The 19,470-nt window shown below is 47.2% G+C and overlaps 1 protein-coding gene across 3 annotated transcripts in view, besides 8 other annotated features; it reads left to right on the plus strand.

Moving 5' to 3' along the window:
• The window catches only part of GALNT2 (polypeptide N-acetylgalactosaminyltransferase 2), a 224,334-nt gene that overhangs the window by 48,209 nt on the left and 156,655 nt on the right, over positions 1-19,470 (plus strand). The window contains exons 1-2 of one of the 3 annotated variants that reach the window (XM_017000964.3): positions 1-6,772; positions 7,357-10,084. The exon at positions 1-6,772 is cut by the window's left edge and continues 23,429 nt beyond it. The exons of the other annotated variants lie outside the window; for them this stretch is intronic. Coding sequence (XP_016856453.2) covers positions 10,052-10,084 — 33 coding nt within the window. The 5' untranslated portion in view covers positions 1-6,772; positions 7,357-10,051. The remainder of the gene's footprint in view (positions 6,773-7,356; positions 10,085-19,470) is intronic. 3 annotated transcript variants of the gene reach the window in all.
• Positions 3,811-3,870: an enhancer, noted in NCBI's record as "active region_2711". NCBI's record gives its function as "activates an Ori minimal core promoter by ATAC-STARR-seq in GM12878 lymphoblastoid cells {active_cell/tissue: GM12878}" and the evidence as "EXISTENCE:reporter gene assay evidence [ECO:0000049][PMID:35858748]".
• Positions 4,501-4,560: an enhancer, noted in NCBI's record as "active region_2712". NCBI's record gives its function as "activates an Ori minimal core promoter by ATAC-STARR-seq in GM12878 lymphoblastoid cells {active_cell/tissue: GM12878}" and the evidence as "EXISTENCE:reporter gene assay evidence [ECO:0000049][PMID:35858748]".
• Positions 4,571-4,650: an enhancer, noted in NCBI's record as "active region_2713". NCBI's record gives its function as "activates an Ori minimal core promoter by ATAC-STARR-seq in GM12878 lymphoblastoid cells {active_cell/tissue: GM12878}" and the evidence as "EXISTENCE:reporter gene assay evidence [ECO:0000049][PMID:35858748]".
• Positions 5,688-6,354: an enhancer, noted in NCBI's record as "H3K27ac-H3K4me1 hESC enhancer chr1:230247432-230248098 (GRCh37/hg19 assembly coordinates)". NCBI's record gives its function as "activates a minimal SCP1, AML or CMV promoter by ChIP-STARR-seq in primed H9 embryonic stem cells {active_cell/tissue: H9 hESC(primed)}" and the evidence as "EXISTENCE:reporter gene assay evidence [ECO:0000049][PMID:30033119]".
• Positions 7,253-8,452: an enhancer, noted in NCBI's record as "BRD4-independent group 4 enhancer chr1:230248997-230250196 (GRCh37/hg19 assembly coordinates)". NCBI's record gives its function as "activates an origin of replication core promoter dependent on BRD2, P300/CBP, MED14 and CDK7 cofactors, and independent of BRD4, by STARR-seq in HCT116 cells {active_cell/tissue: HCT116}" and the evidence as "EXISTENCE:reporter gene assay evidence [ECO:0000049][PMID:35650434]".
• Positions 17,134-17,263: an enhancer, noted in NCBI's record as "active region_2714". NCBI's record gives its function as "activates an Ori minimal core promoter by ATAC-STARR-seq in GM12878 lymphoblastoid cells {active_cell/tissue: GM12878}" and the evidence as "EXISTENCE:reporter gene assay evidence [ECO:0000049][PMID:35858748]".
• Positions 17,274-17,483: an enhancer, noted in NCBI's record as "active region_2715". NCBI's record gives its function as "activates an Ori minimal core promoter by ATAC-STARR-seq in GM12878 lymphoblastoid cells {active_cell/tissue: GM12878}" and the evidence as "EXISTENCE:reporter gene assay evidence [ECO:0000049][PMID:35858748]".
• Positions 18,225-18,519: a silencer, noted in NCBI's record as "tiled region #12256; K562 Repressive DNase matched - State 5:Enh". NCBI's record gives its function as "represses a minimal TATA promoter and a strong SV40 promoter by Sharpr-MPRA in K562 cells {active_cell/tissue: K562}" and the evidence as "EXISTENCE:reporter gene assay evidence [ECO:0000049][PMID:27701403]".

The following is a 19,470-nucleotide window of genomic DNA, read 5'->3' on the forward strand; positions in this document are numbered from 1 at the left end:
ATGATTCATTTCTTTAGTCCGGTCTTCGGACTTGACTTCTTAGAAGCAGGTCTTGTGCAATAGTTGCATATTAACCACTTGGTGACACAGTGCATGAGGGTATGCCAACTCTTTTTGCTCATGGCCGTGCAGTGCAGAATTTCCAGGCATTGTCCGCTCTGTTTCCTGGACTTCGGAGTGATAGCAAAGTTTTGTATTCCCTGATCAGCTGTGTATCTCTGAGCAGCAAGTTGATCTCTCTGTATAAGGGTGACTGTGCCCATGGAGGATGGCATGCAATTGCCTAAAGATTTCAGTCTGAGAATCTGAGAAACGATACTGAATGGAGATGACAGGCTTAGTGCCTGCTTCCAGGAGCCATGCCTCCTCCTGGCCTGGAATGAATACCTAAACACCTGAGGCTCTGAGTTCCGGCAGTGTGCTGAAACTGCTGTTGGTCTGGCCCACTGACCCGGAAACCCAGCCACCTGAGGTTGTGACTTTAGGGCTTCTAGTTTTGTATTTAGCTTTAATTCCATCTGTGAGGCAGTGGAGACTGTTCATTTTATTTTACATCAAAGGCTTTTGGAGGTTGAGATGGGAACAGGATGATAGAACAGTAATGCATAATTATGGAGCATTTGCTGTATGGCAGGCATTCGTAAGAGTGCATTTGTTGATATTATTGTTTGGCCTCTCCTGTCATTAGCCCTAAGCAGCTACACTTGCTAAGCTCTGTGCTAAGGCTGCAGTAAGCAGGCAGGCAGTGCGTGCTGGTGAGCTTGGGCAGTGCTGGAGTGTGTCTTGCCCAGTGTGGGGATGAACATACACCCTTTCATGCTCACAGGTGCCTTAGCCTGGATGATAATGTTTAAGTTCATTCTGTTTATATGCACCGTGTCATTAAACAATGCTGTGAAAAGGGCACTATTATTTCCCCCATATTTTCAGTGATAAGGCAGAGGCCCATGGGCTCCTTGTAGCAATGGAGGCATTCCTTGAGGATCCAGGCAATCTGACTCCCGAGTCCCGGGGCTGGACAGAAGGAAGCTGGCTCCGAGAGCTAGACTGCAGTGCAGAGGAATTCCACGCTCCGCAGGTGCTGTCTTCAGAAGTTGCATCTCGTCAGCAGGATGAGTGCTTTTGGAATAGACAATCTTAAATGTCATAGTGAGGTGACTTGCAGAGATAAGGAAGGACGCCAGCCTCAGGCACTGACTGATGAATCCAGATGGTGACTTCCTCCTTGCAGGAGAATCAGCCACTTACACAGACTGGGAGGGATTCTACTGAGGGAAAAAATGAATTCGCAGCCAGGGACAGTGGCTCATGCCTGTAATTCCAGCACTTTAGGAGGCTGAGGAGGCAGGAGGATCACTTGAGCCCAGGAGTTCGAGACCAGCCTGGGCAACAGAGCAAGATCCTGTCTCTACAAAAACAGAACAAACCAACAATTAGCCAAGTGTGGTGGCACACACCTGTAGTCCCACCTACTCGGGAGGCTGAGACGGGAGCATTGCTTAAGCCTAGGAGTTTGAGGCTGCAGTGAGCTATGATTGTGCCACTGTACTCCAACCTGGGTGACAGAGCAAGAATGTTAAAAAAAAAAAATTCTCATTTCTTCTCATGGACTTTGTGTGTGTGTGTGTGTGTGTGTGTGTGTGTGTGGTTGGTTGGTTGGTTTAAGCCATGGATTAAAGAAAGGAGAACTATTTCCTGTGACTAAAAGTGGTTTACATATTGGTGCTTTAGCAGGAATTTTGGAGGGTGGCTTAAGTGAATAATTAAAACAGAAATCTTCCTAGACGATGTTTATCACACTCAAGACATTAAAAATTAGAGTCAAGGGACTGCTAAGACTTGGGGTGCTGGTGGGTGAGGCTGCCTTTCAGGGAGGCCATGCTGTGAGTTGAGAATCCTAGGCCACCTTGCCTGCACTGCCAGCTTTGCAGCTGTGGGCACATCTGGATCCCCATTTCTGTGCGGGTGCAGACAGGTGAATGTTACCTGCGTGCATCATAAAATGCTGTGAAAGGGGTCACAGGTATTGCCCAGGCTTGGGCAGACTCATTCATAGGGCTCACTGGCTTGCATGAGAAGGGATGCTGGGCACGGTAAACACAGAAGGAGAAGGCAGGCTCTGCTGCCAGGAGCTTGCACCCTGAGCCACGTGGAACTGGTTTGCCTGTGAAGCAATAGGCACAGTCCTGAAAGAGCACAGTCCTGAAAGAGCACTTCTAATTGGGCATACAAGCAAGCTCATAATAAAGTTCTCCTAGGAAGTTTTCCTCATGTTTTGAAGATGATACACTTAGTCCCTGACTGGGGATGGTTTCGCTTACACTTTTTCAACTTTACGATGGTGTGAAAGTGATACACGTTCAGTACGTTCCTCAATTAACAATGAAGCTATGTCCCGATAAACCCATCATAAGTTGAAAATATCCTAAGTCCATAATGCACTTCTGATATAATGGTATTTTCAACTTACAGTGGCTTTACCAAGATGTGGCGCATTGTAAGTCGAGGAGCATCCATCCCTGATGGGATATATAAGGATGAGATTTATGCACAGATGTTCCTCAGCTTATGATGGGATCATGTCCCAGTAAAGACACTGTAAGTTGGAAACATCTGAAGTCGAAAATGCATTTGATATACCTAAGCTATCAAGCATCATAGCTTAGCCTCACCTGCCTTCATTGTGCTCAGAGCACTTAAACGTTAGCCTGCAATTGGGCAAGTCATATCCAAACAATGCTGACAGCACCGCACACTGTAGGGTATCAGTTGTTTAACTTCGTGACCGTGTGGCTGACTGAGAGCTGTGAATCACTGACATTGCCCGGCATTGTCAGAGACTATCCGACCGCATATCGCTAGCCCAGGATAAGAGCAGAATTCCAGATTTGAAGTACAGTTTCTACTGAAGGCATATTGCTTTCGCACCATCGTGAAGTCAGAATTGTTAAGTCGAGCCATGGTAAGTTGGAGACCATCTGAATAACAGGATGAGATGTAGAGCAGGATATATATGTTAGAAACAAAGTTTCGCGAACAGTGCAAACGTTTTCTAGATGGACTATCCTACTCTTCTCTATCTCATTAAACACTTTGCTGGCAGCAACTCACTGAGTTGAATTCCCGCTCCACCAGTAGCCTCCCCTGGGCGTTGGAAGGCTCTGCCCTCTGATGGGGGTCTCCCTGGGAGCTGCGGCTGCGGACCCCCGTAGATGGGATGCAGCTGCCCAGTGTGGTCCTTGCCTTTGCAGGTGAGCGGGTGCAGGGAGGTGCGGGGTGGGGTGGCGGCTGCAGCAGTGGTGGTTGGGGGCCCTGCAGGCTCCCTCGGGGTGTAGCAGGGACATGGTGTGGTGGTTAACAGGAGTAGGCCACTCATGTGGGACGTCAGGACTAGTGCCACAAAGGCAGCCCTGTCACACGAACAGGTTCTTGGGGGACAGAGGTCTGTCTGGGACTGGCTAATGACCTGGAAAGACTGGAGAGGCACCATTGTCCACCACCAGATGTATGGCTGCAGGGTAGGAGTAGACTTAAGAAGGAACACTGTTGGCTGGGCGCAGTGGCTCACGCATGTAATCCCAGCACTTCGGGAGGCCGAGGCAGGTGGATCACCTGAGGTCAGAAGTTCAAGAACAGCCTGGTCAACATGGTGAAACCCCATCTCTACTAAATATACAAAAATTAGCTGGGCGTGGTGGCAGGTGCCTGTAATCCCAGCTACTCTGGAGGCTGAGGCAGAAGAATCACTTGAACCTGGGAGGCGGAGGTCGCAGTGAGTTGAGAGATCACGCCATTGCCCTCCAGCCTGGGCAACAAGAGCGAAACTTCGTCTCCAAAAAAAAAAAAAAGAAGGAACACTGTTAGGGAGGCAGTCAGTGAGCCTCAAGTCAGAAAGACAAACAAGCTCATTTTATGCATTTGCTAACATTTGACCTCTTCTGGGACGCGTAGGTCTCTCAAGTTCTGTTTCTGTTTCCTGTCACGCAGATCAGAGATGTGAAACAGACCTGGTGTACACCCGTCTGGGGTAGCACTGGGAGCCACGGCGTCCTGGCAGAGCAGGTGTGCCTCCCACAGGCTGATGCAGCCGTTCTCTGTGCAGAGGCTGAGCCATCCTAGGAGCAGCTGTGGGGTGAAAGTGTCCTTCCTTAAACTTAGTGCTCCTGCTCATTCTCTCAGTATGGCTAATAGCTCATTTAAATATACTATGGTGGTTTTTAATTTTTGTGACTCATTCCCTCCCCTCCTCACCTGTGTTTTTCCTGTGTGTCAGGGACATTTTAGGGGGACCAAAAGGATCTCTGTCTCTGCTCTGTGCTTGCTCTGAGGTTGAATAGAGAATGTTCAGGGCTGTTCTTATTTGAGTCACTGGAGCTGTTGTGAGCTCTGACGGCCTGGGAGCCCCACTACTGTCACATGAGGACAGGGCGTGGGGTGGCTCAAGCATGGCCGCTTGGGGTTGGGTCCTAGTGCTGTCATGTTGGAGGTGTCTGACCTTTGCACTAAGTTTCCCCACTTACACTAAATGGGGATAATCAAAGCTTTGTGTGGGGATTAAGTGAGTTAATGTAACCAGAACACTTAGAATGGTGTGCTGCATACAGTGATAATGCAGAACTACTCACTGCTGCTGGAGTGCGCTGTTATATTCTTTATTAGGTCCTCAGACTTTTTCTATGCCTAAGCCTTGAGGGTCTCTCTCAGCTGTGCTTTTCTGTTTTTTTTTTTTTTGTCTTCAATAGATTTTTCTAGGGTCTTTTCTGGTAAAAAGAGACTGGGAATGCAAATACATTGAGCATGAGTTGAGAGGAGTTTGGACATCAGCCTGACCGTGGAAAACTGGGGAGGCGTGGAGTATATAGTTTCCTCTGGGTGGGTTACTGACAGACCATGGGAGTTCTGGGGAAAATGTATGCTCTTCTCTTTAAGTACAAGCCACCATTGCCAGGCAGAAGCTGATAAAGTAATTAGAATTGTTGTTCATACCTGACTTGCAGGAATGTGTGTGCGTGTGTCTGCATGCGTGTGTACGTATATATACTGTGCATGCATATTTGTGTGTGTGTACATACATATGTACACACTGCATGTGTCTGCATTTATGTACATATGGGCATGTGGCATGGGCATATGGCACATGCGTATCTGTGCATGCACACATGTACACAGCACACATGCACACATGCAGTGCATAGTATGCCTGCATGTACATGTGCGTACCATGCATGCATGTACCTACACGTGTGCATACTAATTTGTGCACACGTGCACACTGCAATGTGTACTTACATGCAAGCCTACGATATGTGTTTGCAGGCACATACATGTTCACACACTGCCCATGCACATTTGCATACACATGTGTGCATGGAACATATGCAGTACAACACAAGTGTGTTTGCATACATGTACAAACACACATGTGTATTTACCTACATTTCAAGGTGAACCCTCCCCAGAAGGCTCTGCTCAATGAGACTCTGAAAGTGTTCAAAAGCATGGTCTGAGAAAGCATCCCTCCTTCAGGGCATGTACCCAAGTAGTCTTTCTCTTGCTGGCTGAAATCATCAGGGATTGTTTCCAAGTTTTAACTTCTGATTTTCACTCTTTTAAATCCCAGAGCCGATACTTGAACAGAAGTAAGTTTGCTGTTACACCTCTCACTTTGATTAGCTTGTTGCGTTAAATTAATTGTCAGATTGCCTGAAACCAAAGCTTCTTAAAATGAACACTGGTTCACTCGGGAAATTTTTGCAAGATCAAAAATGGAAGACTGTGTCACTGATGAAAGGGAGAGATAGCCAGAATACAAAATCTAGAGCTTTGGACCTGAAATCTGGCTGCAAGATGGTTTTTTCCTGTCTTACCTAAGAAGTGGCCCCCAGGATTCACATACCAGTAGCCTCTTTTTGTTATTCTTTTTTTTTTTTTTAAACATATCCCCTTGTTAAAGATCCTCTTGATTGCAAGCAAAAGCAGCCTACTGTGCAGGCTGGCTTAAGCAGAAAAGGGAATTTATTGTGGGGACATGGTGGGGAGGTGTCTCATTACTGAGAGGAAGAAGGCTGGCTGGCCTCAGAAGGCATGAGAACTGGGACCTGGGTCCAGCCCAGTCCATGGTGGCCACAGCTGGATCTCAGCTCTGCTCCTCCAGGCCAGGTGGCTGCTTTCTCCTCTCTCTGCAGTGGGATTTTCTCTGCCCAGGACTCATGTGTCTACCTGTGGGTCTAATCTCCTAGCATAGGCTGAGCCTGCACCTCCTTGAGAAAACAGATTAGCTTAGCTTAGTCTGAGTGTTCACTCCAGGCGCACCCTGAGAGGGAGTGCAGCCTGCACATGGGGTGGGTAGTTCTTAAAGGGAGCCTGCCTCCAGAGGCGCCGGGGGAGGGGGGGGGCCTGCATTTAGAGTGTGTGCGTGGAGCATGTAGCTTGTTCCTGTTTTCATGGAGTCGCAGAGATCAGAAAGCATTTATGCCTGTTTCTGACAGAGATGCACACAGCTGGTCTGAATGGGCAGGATTGGGGTGAGGGCAGTGGAGGAGGGATCTGGCCACACAGGCAGTCTGCTGTGAGGGCCACTTCAAGCCACTCTTCCCTTGCTGAGCTGTGATTCGTTCTTTTCCAAGTGACTTAAACAGAGGCCTTTTCTCTTGTTTGTGGGGATGAGGATGGCGAAGGGAGGAGGAGGGAGAGGGTGGCTGAGTGGAGGAAGCGCAGTTGTGCTGCGGAGATTCCTGCTCTGCAGCTTGTCTGCTGTGGATTGGCCCAGGGGGTAGGTGGCACAGTGTGTGTGGCAGGGGGGTGGGGGGGACCAGGCCTGGCTCCGCTGGTCCACTCTTGGGCTGTGAGCCAGGACAAAATCTTATACCAAGCAAGCATCTTTTCCAGTAAAATAGAGTGTCTCCATGCCCTTAGGAACTGCCTGGGACAGCCTCATTCTGTCCTGGATTTTGTTCTGGGCTCTGCTGCCTGTTGAGCGTGGACCAGTGACCTCGTAACTGTGGCAGAGGTGAAGGTCTCAGCACCTTCTGTGTGCCCTCTTGCATGTGTGTTTGCCAGCATGCTTGGGGCTTTCTTCAGGTGTTTCTGGCCTGAGGAAGTGTCTTACCCCCATGTTATTTGTGTGGCTGCACAGCATCTGGAGGGAGGGATAGAGCCCCAGCGCTGGGCACATCGGATCTGTGCTCTGAACAGCTCTGTTGATGCCAGAGCTGCCTGACTTGCTCTGTGTGGTGCTGTGAAGGTCAGGCTTGGAGAGTGAGGAGCTGCTGAAAAAGGGTGAGTTTTGTTCTCTTCTTCCAGGGCTCAGTCTTCCTTGTACCAGTTTCTTTCTCTGTTCTTCTCTCCTTGACTCAGGAATCCAGTTTGCGCAGCACTTACATGGCGGGCAAACTCCAGTTTATACCTGGAGCTGCAGGGCGGAGCTGCTGTCAGCTGGGAGCTGTTATTGAGGAACAGCTGTGGTAGAGGTGGATAAGAAGAAGACCTGACCCCACCTGCTGGGGCAAGAAGCCTGCATAGCACAGCTAAACAGCCATGTGGGACAACGGCTGAGCAATGACAGTGGAACCCAGTGTCCCATGCAAAGTGCTCAAGAAGTGGACGGGATGGATCGCTGCTGAGTGGCTCTTGAGGAGCTCAGAGTATCTTGGGGCTGATGTTGCCTGTTGGGACTTTCCCCAGCACAGACAGCGTGCGGGATTTCAGATGCTCTTCTCCTTGCCTTCAGAAGCCCAGGGAGTGTTGGCAGCTTGTTTGCACCTGATCAGATAAAAGAGGTCATGATCTCTGTGAAGGTCTTTTCGGGGAAGGGGTCACTGGCCTTGCCAAATGTGGGAAGCGAGGCCTCTTCCCAGTTCTGCCTGTGACTCAATGGCTGTGGCTCAGGGCAAGTCATTGGATTTGTTTTTTGTTTTTTTTTTCAGAATAACGTCAGCATGTGCTGAGCATCTGACTCACGGGGTGAGGCAGTGAATGAAGGACTTCATCTCCGTGAAGTGCTTGACGTGATAGAATGAAAACCCTTGCGTTCCCAGCCTTGGCTGTCAGAGTCTCATTTTAAGGAAAGCCGTTTTTGACGTGTGTTTCCTTTCAGTTCGGAGCTGGCTTCTGTTAGGACAGGGGGTTTCTGCCCACTTAGCTGTGTCTCTGGTAATCTGAGATTCTTGGAAACGGGCCACAGTGATTCCTCTGGCCACATTCAGGGTCAGGTTTTCAGTTCGTCTTCCTGGTGTTTCCGCGCCTCATTCTAGGGGGAGGTTTAGTCGTTCCTTTCTCTGCTGTCCCCCAGTAGCTTCCGGCCATTCCTTGTGAAGGAATCTTCCTAAGTCAATTTTCCCTGGTGAAGACTGAGCCCTGGAAGAAGAGAACAAATCTCATCCTTTGTCACTTGGGAATTTCACTGGCGAAATTCAGTGAGGCACTTGAGGTTTGTAAATGGGCAGACGTTTCCCACACGATTACGTCTGTATGTTGGAAAGATATTTCTAAGTTGTAGTGAGGTAGGAGGGATTCTCAGCGAGAGGAGGGGCTTGGGCTGAACCCGGCACTGCTGGGACATGAACAGGGGAAACAGCGTTGGCGGTGGAGCAGGTAGACATTCCCTTGACCTCGTAAGTCCTGGATGCCACCCGGCGAACTGGCCTGCGGGCTGGAAATGATGCAGCTGACCCAGTAAACGCACTCAGCTCACCTTTTAGTCTGGTCCAGAACGCTGAATTGAGCTCTTGGATCTTGGTGCTAAATACGTGGTGTGGCATTAATGGCAGTAAAGATGGATGGTTATGTACCATGTAGAACGTGCAAATCTGTTTTCAATAGGCTTTATTTTTTAGAGCAGTTTTGGGTTCACAGCAAAATTGAGCAGAAGGTACAGAGAGTGCCTGTATACCTGCTACCCCAACATCCAGCTTCCCCTATTAGTTTCCCTTCGCAAGAGTTATAGTCCACAAACCTACACTGACACATCCTTAAGTCTCCCAAGTCCACAGCTTACATTAGGGTTCACTCTTTTTTTTTTTTTTTTTAAGATGGAGTCTCACTCTGTCACCCAGGCTGGAGTGCAGTGGCATGATCTCGGCTCATTGCAACCTCTGCCACCCGGGTTCAAGCGATTCTCCTGCCTCAGCCTCCTAAGTAGGTGGGATTACAAGCTCCTGCCACCACACCCAGCTAATTTTTGTATTTTTAGTAGAGACAGGGTTTTACTATCTTGGCCATGCCGGTCTTGAACTCCTGACCTTGTGATCCACCTGCCTCGGCCTCCCAGAGTGCTGGGATTACAGGAGGGTTCACTCTTGCTTTTGTACATTCTATGGGTTTGGACAAATGTACAGACACACGTCTGAGAAAATTGTGGGTTTGATTTCAGGCCATCACATAAAGCAAATACGGCAGTAAAGCAAGTCACACACAGTTTTTGGTTTCCTAGTGCATACAAAGTTATGTTTACACTGTATTGCCGTCTGTGAATAGGGCAGTAGCCTTATGCCTAAACAATGTACGGATCTTAATTTTAAAATATTTTATTACTGAAAAATGCTAAGGATCATCTGAGTTTTTAGCAAGTCGAGTCATAGTCTTTTTGCCCAGATGTTGATGGCTGCTGACTGATGACGGTGGTGGTGGTTGAAGGTTGAGGTGGTGGCTGCGACAGTTTCTTAAAAGAAGACAACAATGAAATTTGCCACATTGATGGACTCTTCCTTTCACAAAAGATTTCTTTGTAGCATGCGTTGCTGTTTAGCATTTTGCCCACAGTAGGACTTCTTTCAGAATAGGAGTCAGTTCCCTCAAACCCTGCCACGTCTTTGTCAATTAAGTTTATTCTGAATCCTTTGTTGTAATTTTGACATGCTCACAGCATGTTCCCTAGGAATAGATTCCATCTCAGGAAACCACTTTCTTTGCTCTTCCATGTCTTTTTCCAGGTTCTATCATGAGTTTGCAGCAATTCAGTCACATCTGTCGTCTCCACTTCTAGTTCTCTTGGTGTTTCCACCACAACTGCAGTTCCTTCTCCACTCTAGTCTTGAACCCCTCAAAGTCATCCATGAAGGTTGGAATCAGCTTCTTCCACGCTCTGGTTAGTGTTGATATTTTGATCTTTTCTGTGAATCACGAATGTTCTTAATGGCAACTGTAAGGGTGAATTCTTTCCAGAAGGATTTCACTTGACTTTGCCCAGATCTATAAGAGGAGTCACTATCTATGGCAGTTATAGTTTTACAAAACATCTTTCTTTTTTTTTTTGAGACAGAGTCTCGCTATGTCACCAGGCTGGAGTGCAGTGGCACGATCTCGGCTCACTGCAACCTCTGCATCCCAGGTTCAAGGAATTCTCCCGCCTCAGCCTCCTGAGTAGCTGGGATTGCAGGCACACACCACCACGCCCAACTAATTTTTGTATTTTTAGTAGAGACGGGGTTTCACCATGTTGGGCAGGATGGTCTCGATCTCCTGATCTCGTGATCTACCTGCCTCGGCCTCCCAAAGTGCTGAGATTACAGGCGTGAGCCACTGTGCCTGGCCACAAAATGTATTTCTTAAACAAGACTTAAAGGTTGAAATTACTGCTTGATCCATGGGCTGCAGAATGGCTGTTGTGTTACCAGGCATGGAAACAGTATTCACCTCCTTGTGCATCTCCATCAGAGCTCTTGGGTGACCAGGTGTGTCATCAGTGATCAGTAGTAGTCTTTTGACAGGAGTATATATTTTTTTTCCGAGCAGTCTCAACACGGACTTAAAATCTTCAGTAAACCGTGCTGTAAACAGATGTGCTGTCATCCATGTTCTGTTGTTCCATTTATAGAGCACAGGCAGAGTAGATTTAACATCATTCTTAAGGGTGCTAGGAGTTTCGGAATGGTAAATGAGCATTGGCATCAATGTAAAGTCACCAGCTGTATTAGCCTCTTACAGGAGAATCAGACTGTCCTTTGAGGCTTTGAAGCCAAGCATTGGCATCTCCTCCCTAGCAATGATAGTCCTAGATGGCATCTTCTTCCAATAGAAGGCTGCTGTAGGGTAGCCACCTTCATCAGGGATCTCAGTTAGATCTTCTGGGTAACTTGCTGCAGCTTCTCCATCAGCACTTGCTGCTTCACCTTGCACGTTTATGGTATGGAGGTGGCTTCTTCCCTTAAACCTCATGAGTCAACCTCTCCTAGCTTTCAGCTCCTCTTCTGCAGCTTCCTCACACACGGTTAGCTTTCATAGAATTGAGGAGAGTAAGGGCCTTGCTCTGGATTAGGCTTTGGCTTAAGGGAATGCTGCAGCTCATTTGATCTTCTATCCAGACTGCTCACACCTTCTCCGTATCAGCAATAAGGCTGTTTGGCTTTCTTATCGTTCATGTGTTCACTGGAGTAGCACTTTTAATTTCCTTCAAGAACTTTTCCTTTGCATTCACACTCAGCTAACTGGCCTTCCTCACTAAGCTTAATCATTATCAGCTTTTGATTTAAGGTGAGAGATGTGCCGCTCCTCCTTTCACTTGAACACTCAGAGGCCATTGTAAGGTTACCAATTGGCCTAATTTCAGTATCGTGGTATCGCAGGGAATAGGGAGGCTTGAGGAGAGGGAGGGAGATGGCAGAACAGCCAGTGAGTGGGGGAGTCAGAACACACACCATGTTTATCCATTAAGTTTGCCATTTTGTATGGTTCATGGTGCTCCAAAATGATTAGTATCATCAAAGACCACTGATCACAGATCACCATAAGATATAATAGTGACAAAGTTTGAAATATTGTGAGAATGGCCAAAATGTGACATATAGACATGAAGTGAGCACACGCTGTTAGAAAAAATGGCAGTGATAGACTTGCTCGATGTAGGGTTGCCACAGACCTTCAGTTTGTAAAAAACACAGTATCTGAAGCATATCAGTGTGAAGTGCAGTGAAGCAAGATATACGTGTCTGATGAAAGCATCCGCCTCACTCTGTTCTGGGCAGTGTCATATGGAATAGCTTCGCTGCCCTTGGAATTGTCTGTGTGCTCCCTGTTCATCCCTCCCAACCCCGATAACCACTGATCTTTTTACTGTCTCCATCACTTTGCCTATCCCAGAATGTTGGAATCATTCAGTATGTAGCCTTTTCAAATTGGCTTCTTTCACTTAGTCCTATGTATTTAAGGTTCTTCCATGTCTTTTCATGACTGGAGAGCTCATTTCTTTTTAGCACTGAATACTGTTCCGTTGTCTGGATATACCACAGTTAATCCATTTGCCTAGATGTGTCCATCATGACAAAGGACATCTTGGTTGTTTCACATTGTAGCAATTATGAATAAAGGTGTTAGGAACATTTGTATGCAGGTTTTTGTGTGGACATAAGTTTTCAACTCCTTTGGATAAATTCCAACGAGTGCGCTCACTGGACTGTATAGAAAGTGTATGTTTAGTTTTGTAAGATCCTGCCAAACTGTCTTCCAAAGTGTGCAAGCCTATTTTTTGACCAGGGCGGTTAGTCACACATAGCAGCCACATCTGTTGTGGTGCCTTCCTGGGAGGCCCCTCTCTTTTATAGTCCCATCAGTGCCACCATCTGCAGGGTCACCAGAGTCCCTGTAGGGCCAGAAGCACAAGTATGGCTGGTTCCTTATCTCCCTGGAGCCCTGGCTTCTTCCCACCTCTCTCCAGCCTCAACTATTTTTTGCCTTTGCCCTACGGGGACTGGCTGTCGGTTCTTCCCCGCGTGGCTCCTCCCCGCACTGTCTCGGTGGGAGCATCGTCCGGCCTTCATGCCCTGTAAGATGCGGTTCAGATGGCACCTCCTCTGTGACGCCCTTCCTCTCATCCTACTAGCCCAATTAAAAAAAGTTATTATAGTAAAGTTCAAATATATGTAAGTAGACTCAATAGTATAATGAACTCTGCCTGCCCCTCACCCTGCCTTTATCCGATCAGCCTATGGTCAGCCCTGTCCTGTCCATGACCACCCTGGAAATGGGCCCCAGAAATCATCTTATTTTACCTATAAATATTTTAGTGTGTGTCTCTAAAAGATAGTTTGAACTCACAGTACCATAAATCATACTTAAAAACAATTAACAAGTTCCTTAAGGGCATCCATATTTAATTATCGCTCAAATCTCCATTTGGTTCCTAAATGTTATACCTGTATTTATAATTTTTCTTAATTCAGGATTTATATAAAGTTACCGACTGTGGTTGATTCATACAACCTCTGGTTCTTGGAAAATCGGAGTTTTCTTTTTTCCCTCTGCTTTTGGTCATTTCATTGACTTGTGCGTACAGGTTTTTGTGAAGGGAGCTGGGAATCGCCTTACTGTTTTCCAGCCTGGATTTTGTGGCTTGCGTCTCCGTGGGGTAGTTTTCCATGTTCCTCCGTGCTCTGTTTCCTGCAAATGTGAAGTCGGGTGTAGAGCCTTGATGAGATTCCCATTTGATTTGTTTCTTCCTCTTTGAGGGATGGGCGAGGCTGCTCGCCACGTGGGGTCTGTGCTGCACTCTTGGACCTGGAGGCACAGGGCACTGGGTTTCTGTGGTGGAGGCAACCATTGATACTCAGTGTCTGTATCTCCTAGTTCTTTAGGCTTTCAACATTGTAACATTTTAATTCTATCTGCGAGTGTAATTTCTTTGCTAGGCTGTTTGTATAAAGAGAACTCCCCCCACCCCCACTATTTGTTTACCTGGTGGTACTGTCCATGGGGGAAAGATAACACCCATGTCAGTTTCTTCCTTTTATTTATCAGTTTCTAGTCAGTGGTAACCAGATAGGGCTTTTTGCTTGTTTGGTTTTATGGCATTATGTGGACTTACACATTTGCATTTCAGCTTATTCCAGTTATTATTATTAGGGTTCACATTTTCCCAGCTTTGGTCAGTGAAAGCTGCTTGAGGTGGGCCCTACATCCCATTGGCGTGATTGTCATGGCCTTTGAGGACCGTGTTGCTGTATACTGTGGTAAGATTCCCGGGGTCACATTGTCTGTTCCTGCCCCAGACCTGGAGTCAGCCTTTCCCAGAGAGCCCTGGTTCTCTGTGCTGGGAAGCGTTTGCGGTTCGCTATTGGGCTCAGGGCGGCCTGCTTTCCTGTTCCTCCCCTGTGCCCTCGGCACCTGGCCGGAGCATCTCCAAGCGTCTGCCACCATACACTGCAGTCCTCACTAGCCTCTTGCATGCGTTGGGGGTGGGGGTGGGGGTGAGTGGGCGGTGTTAAAGGCTACACCTGGGATTCTCCAGGCCTCAGCAGCTGGTGTTGTAAGGTTACATAGTAACAGTGTTAACCAGCTTGCCCTGTCTTTTCTCAAAGTTCCACCCATTCAGTTCCAGGGGTCCAGGACGTGCCTATCAGGAACAGCCCTTGGATGCCCTTGGATGCCTGCCTTGTGGATGTCATCTGCTCCCATGTCAGCCATCTCCAGGGCTCTTCCCGAGAAGAGGGCAGTCCCCGCCAAGGGTGTTGCCTCTCAAACCTGCCAAACTACAAACCCTCTTGGTACCTCCACACATCCCTGGAGTCGGCTTTGGGGAACACTGTGTTCCATGTCTAAGTGGAGTCCCGGGCCTCTCCCCTCCAGTGTCGCCTGTGCCAGCTGGACACGAAGCAGCAGATCAGTCATGAAAATGGCTGCTCAGCTCCGATCTGCCCTTCCTTCCGCAGGACTCAGGGACGCACAGCTCCCCAGGGCTGGTCACCCAAACAACAGCATTCCTTTCTCCTCGGCCTCTCCCCAGGCTGCTTGGGAGAGAAAACTTCCCTCATCCTCCTCCGCACACACTAAATGCCCTGCCGGTATCTTCTTTCCAGTGACTGTGGCCCCAGGTCGTCACACATGGCCAGACACAGCTGAATCTCAGGCTAGATCATGTTGGCACTGCTTCCACCCCTTGGATAAAATAAAATTCCCAGTGACTTCCTTAATATTTTGATAGGCTGAGTGGCTTATATGCAAACTTTGATGTAAACACTAGGCCAGAAATTGGTTAACTGTGGTTTAGGACTCCTAATCTTTCTCCGGATTTATTGAAAACATGTCTTAGAATGGTACGCACCAAGTGGTTCTCCCTGGTACTGCATCCTGCTGGCCACGTACCCTTTCCTGATGCTCCTCTGAAGGGAGGATGTTTAACGCAATGATCTCCAGCCAGTGTCCAAATGGCATAGAGCCACTTCCTTGTTGACATTCCCTGGGATCTGGAGGTCACTTCCAGCTCTTTCCTCTTTTCTGCAAGAGCCATGGTGCTGCACCTGCCTGCTGTGTGCTGGCACATGCCTGTGGGGTTGTGAAGGCTTTGTATGGGTCCCTGGACCACACCTGAGGAGGCGCTGTCTTAGTCCCGTGGCGGGCGGTGGGGCAGGCTCCCTGCACTGGAGGAAGCACCAGCAGGCTTTTGTGCGTGAACAGACAACTCTGTTGGCTTTCCTGCCCTCCCCTGTTTGCCTTCTTGATTTTTCCCTTCTCTTTTTGTTTCTGTCTCCATCCTGGTTGCATTCCCTCACTCCCCTCTTCTTTGTCCCTGCCAGGTTTCTGATGGGTTACTTCTTTGAGGAGGAGAACCCTACCACCATTCCAGAATACTCAAGGCAAGGTTTGAGGGGAGAATTAGGCGGATGTCCATTTCACAAGGCTTTGTTTTTGCCGAGGAGAACATCAGTGTCTGCCTTTAGTAGGTTGCCATCATCATAAGCAATAATAGCTGACTGTAACTCAGGGACTGTGCTGGGAACTTTCCATGCCCACGGAGTCAGTCCCTTCAGCAGCCCCAGGAGGATGAGTGCTTTTGCATACCCCACTTTGCATAGATCCCAAAAAGGGGACATTGGGACATTGGGAGCATCAGTAACTTGCTCGAGGTCACACAGCTAGAAGAGGGGAGGAGGGATTTAGAATGTATTTATTTATCTTATAACGTTTATTTTTTGATATATAAATTTATATTTCCCTTTGTAGTTTATTTAAATACTGTTATGCTTTTTTTTTTTTTTTTTTTCAAGGGACAGGGTCTTACTCTGTTGCCCAGGCTAGCCTTGAACTCTTGGGCTCAACCATTCAAGCCTCAGCCTCCCGACTAGCTGGGACTGTGGGTTTAGAATTTGAATCCAGTGTTCACCCTTCCTCCTGAGCGGTGCTGTACATTATGAACAGGTTGTTTGCCAGGAACTGGGATAATGCCATTTTCCTCATAAACCTTTGCCCCGCAAGCATGGGTAGACAGACAGCTGGTGCTTTCCTTGGTTATATTTGGCAAACTATATAACCAAACCAAACTTGATTATATTTGGCTAGTGGACCAGTTCTTTTGTAGTTGGTTAGAAAAGAAAAGATATCGCTTTCCCTTGAAAGAATTCATTCTCCATGAGATTGAGGTTCAGAAAATCTGTTAAATAAATCCCAAGCCCTGAGGCCTCCAAATCAGTGGCTGCTCCGCTGCTCCTCTCTCTCCCTCGACCTGGTCTCTCAGTGACCCCCTCATCTTTTCAAATCATAGCATGTTGGGACAAGTGTTCCAGGGAAGGCCTCTGTCAGTGTTTAGCTTACATTTCTTGGGTGTATCTTTTTGACAAAATTTTCCCCCCAGGGATAAGGAAACCAGAAAACCACAGTGGATCAGCGTGCAGGAATGCATAAGGGTGGCTCTGTGTGTGTGTGTGTGTGCATGTACATACGTGTGTGTGTGTGTTCATCCGTGTGTGTGTGTTTTCCTTCAGAGCATTTTAAAGGTCTCAGCTATTATTAACATGAATTTATTATCTATATTTAGGATAAGCCCACTAAGGATGATTTGGGATGAGCTGTGAATCTGTGGTGTATATATAGATCTCTGCACACGCGTATAGTGCATATTTATGTCTGCACGTACTCCTGGGCGTTGACATCTGCCTGTGGAATGCAGACATCTCTGTGCAGGGTTGTGGCCTGTCGTCTCTTGATTGGCAGTTGAAGTGTCCCGCATCCCCTTGTTATTAATAACTTGCTTGGGGCTACATTGAGTTGGGGATGTGCAGTAGTGATTTATCAAGACATTGTTATAAAGACACAAGGCTGGTTGTAATAGTCTAATCAGAACAAGTGTATTCAAAGTGGCGAGTTTCAAGCATGCTGTTTAGGAGACTTCACACTTATTTTCAGCGTTCAGAACATTGTTGAACCTCTGCTTTTGGCATCGTGGTCACAGCTAGTCTATGAGCCTTAGGAGAAATTATACTTGCCATTTGGTGCCCACTGTGAGTTTCTGACCAAGAACAAAATTTCCAAGCTTGATCACCTGCCTTATTCGTGACGCTTGGCTCCAAGTGGTTGTTAGCTGTTTCCAAAAAACAAATGTGCTTTAGAGGATGAACATTATGCTGTTGTCTCTGGGGGCCAACCCGTTAGGGGAGTTCCAGAAATATTTTGAATGATGACAGCATCATGGGAATACCAAGGGTCTCCCCAGGGGACTACTTTGAAGAGGGGCACATGCAGGTTGGTCATGTCTTTGTGTGAGTTCCAGGGTTCGAAAATAACTGACGTATACTGGTTGTGTATGTCTGTGTGTGTGTTGCCCGCACAGCTAAGTTTAGACACCGAGCTTTGGAGACCTCTGAGAGCCGACTCCACCTTTGATTTTCAGTTGTCTTTCATTTTGTACCCATTTGGTATTGTCTTGCTTGAGCCTTTGTGGAAATAGACCTTGACTTCATTTCTTAAGTCTTTTTTACTTTCTACGATTATGGAAAGGAAAAATATATATTTTATTTAGAAGGCAACAGGTGTACTTATGTTCTTCTCCTATATGATGGGTAGTGGAAATGTTTTAATTGCCTTCTTTTGTCTACTTTAACCTCATGATCATTGCCTTTGTTTGCTAGTCTCTCAGCATGCGTGGTTTTGAAAATGACCTGCACACTTAGCAGATGTGATACAGAAACCAAACCCCCGAACCACACTGTCAGGGGACTCTAAAAATGTGAAAACACCTGGTTTTGGTTTCTTAGTCATTCTGTTTATTTGGTGAACTCTGTAGCTTCAAACGTACAGCTTTGACCACTTAATGAAAGCATGTGGATAGTGACGTGAGGATGACCTGAAGATATGACTCCCTGTCCTTTGGACTAAGTGGCCTTTAAACCAGTCACGTGCCTGGCTCAACTTTAAAAAGAAGTAAAGACATTGTCATTAGATCTATACAATGTCAAGAATATTACCCGGCCTGGATTTAGGTGGAAATGAATTAAGTGCAAGTACTGATAGGTACTTTCTGGGGGTTAATTTTATTATTTTCTTCTCTTTAATTTTGATGTAGACATGGAGACAGCAGAGGGAGAGACACCAATTCTTAAGCATGTTGTGTGCTGGTGTGTTGCAAAACATTGCTGCAAGAGCTGTCTATCACCCGCAAGAGCCCTTCTGACCTGATCTGTGGTCGTACTGGACTTGTGGCAAGCTGGAATGTCCCCTTGTCACCAGTGGCGTGTTAATGTTACTAAAAAGCAAGGAAAATATAATTGAGTTCTCCCTAAATCTACCTGTGGCATGAAAAAATCTCTCAGGTTGCATCATGTCCAGAAATAACTATGGTGGGGCCTAATGGGAGTAATTCCCTGGCTCCAGGTATTTGGAGGAGGCAGGCAGCACTTCTCATTGGAGTGATTTGGAACCAAGGCAGTACATTTTCCTGCTGTTCCTGAACAATCTGAAGTTTTGCAGATCCTTGGAGAAATAAAAGCCACAGTCTTGGAACCTCCCACCTTCTTTTGGCCTGAGTCCTTCTCATGAATTCAGCAACCAAAATGGAGTCATGGGGACGGGTGGGACCTGCCGTGATGGTCCCACCTGCATTACCCCCATGGCAGACTAGGGTGGTGTGGCCTGTCTGGGAATGTGGTCTTTCTCTCTGAGAACCCAGCTATGTGGTTAGTAACTCAGGATTGTGGCCCTGTGGTTACTGTGCACTAATCAGCCCTCCAAACACTGGAGGAGCACACCCTGGTGTCTGCACCGCTGGCTGTTTTCAAGAGTGTTGTTCTCTTCCACCAAACAGCCTACACTCAGCCCTGCACTCAGATTTTGCTTTATTTGTTGATGAAGCTGGAAAGAGTCCATTTGACGTGTAACCTGGTCTCCGCTAAGCGGTTGTTCTCTATTCTTGTCAAATGTGAAGGCTTCCCAAGCCTGGTTATGCATTGTTGGCTGCCAAAGAGGGCCAAGTGTTTGAAAGTGAATACCAGATTAGAGAATTCATAAATGAAGATGCAATAACCCATCACACAATTAGAGTGCAGGATCCCTTTCCCACAATCAGAGTAACAGAGATGGGACTAAGGAAGTTGTACAGGCCAGAGAAGGGAGGGGGCTGTGGGGAGAAAGAAGGAATAGCTGGTTAGAATGTCCCTGTGTTTCTCAAATTCTGCAGTTTCCTAGCGACCCCTCCCTCAGGAGTGTAGCGAGGCCTGGCTGGTGTTTGACAGCGTCACATATTTTAAATTAAAGGCAGAGTGAATAAGGAGA

Source organism: Homo sapiens, chromosome 1 (genome assembly GCF_000001405.40).
Source record: "Homo sapiens chromosome 1, GRCh38.p14 Primary Assembly".
Classification (NCBI taxonomy): domain Eukaryota; kingdom Metazoa; phylum Chordata; class Mammalia; order Primates; family Hominidae; genus Homo; species Homo sapiens.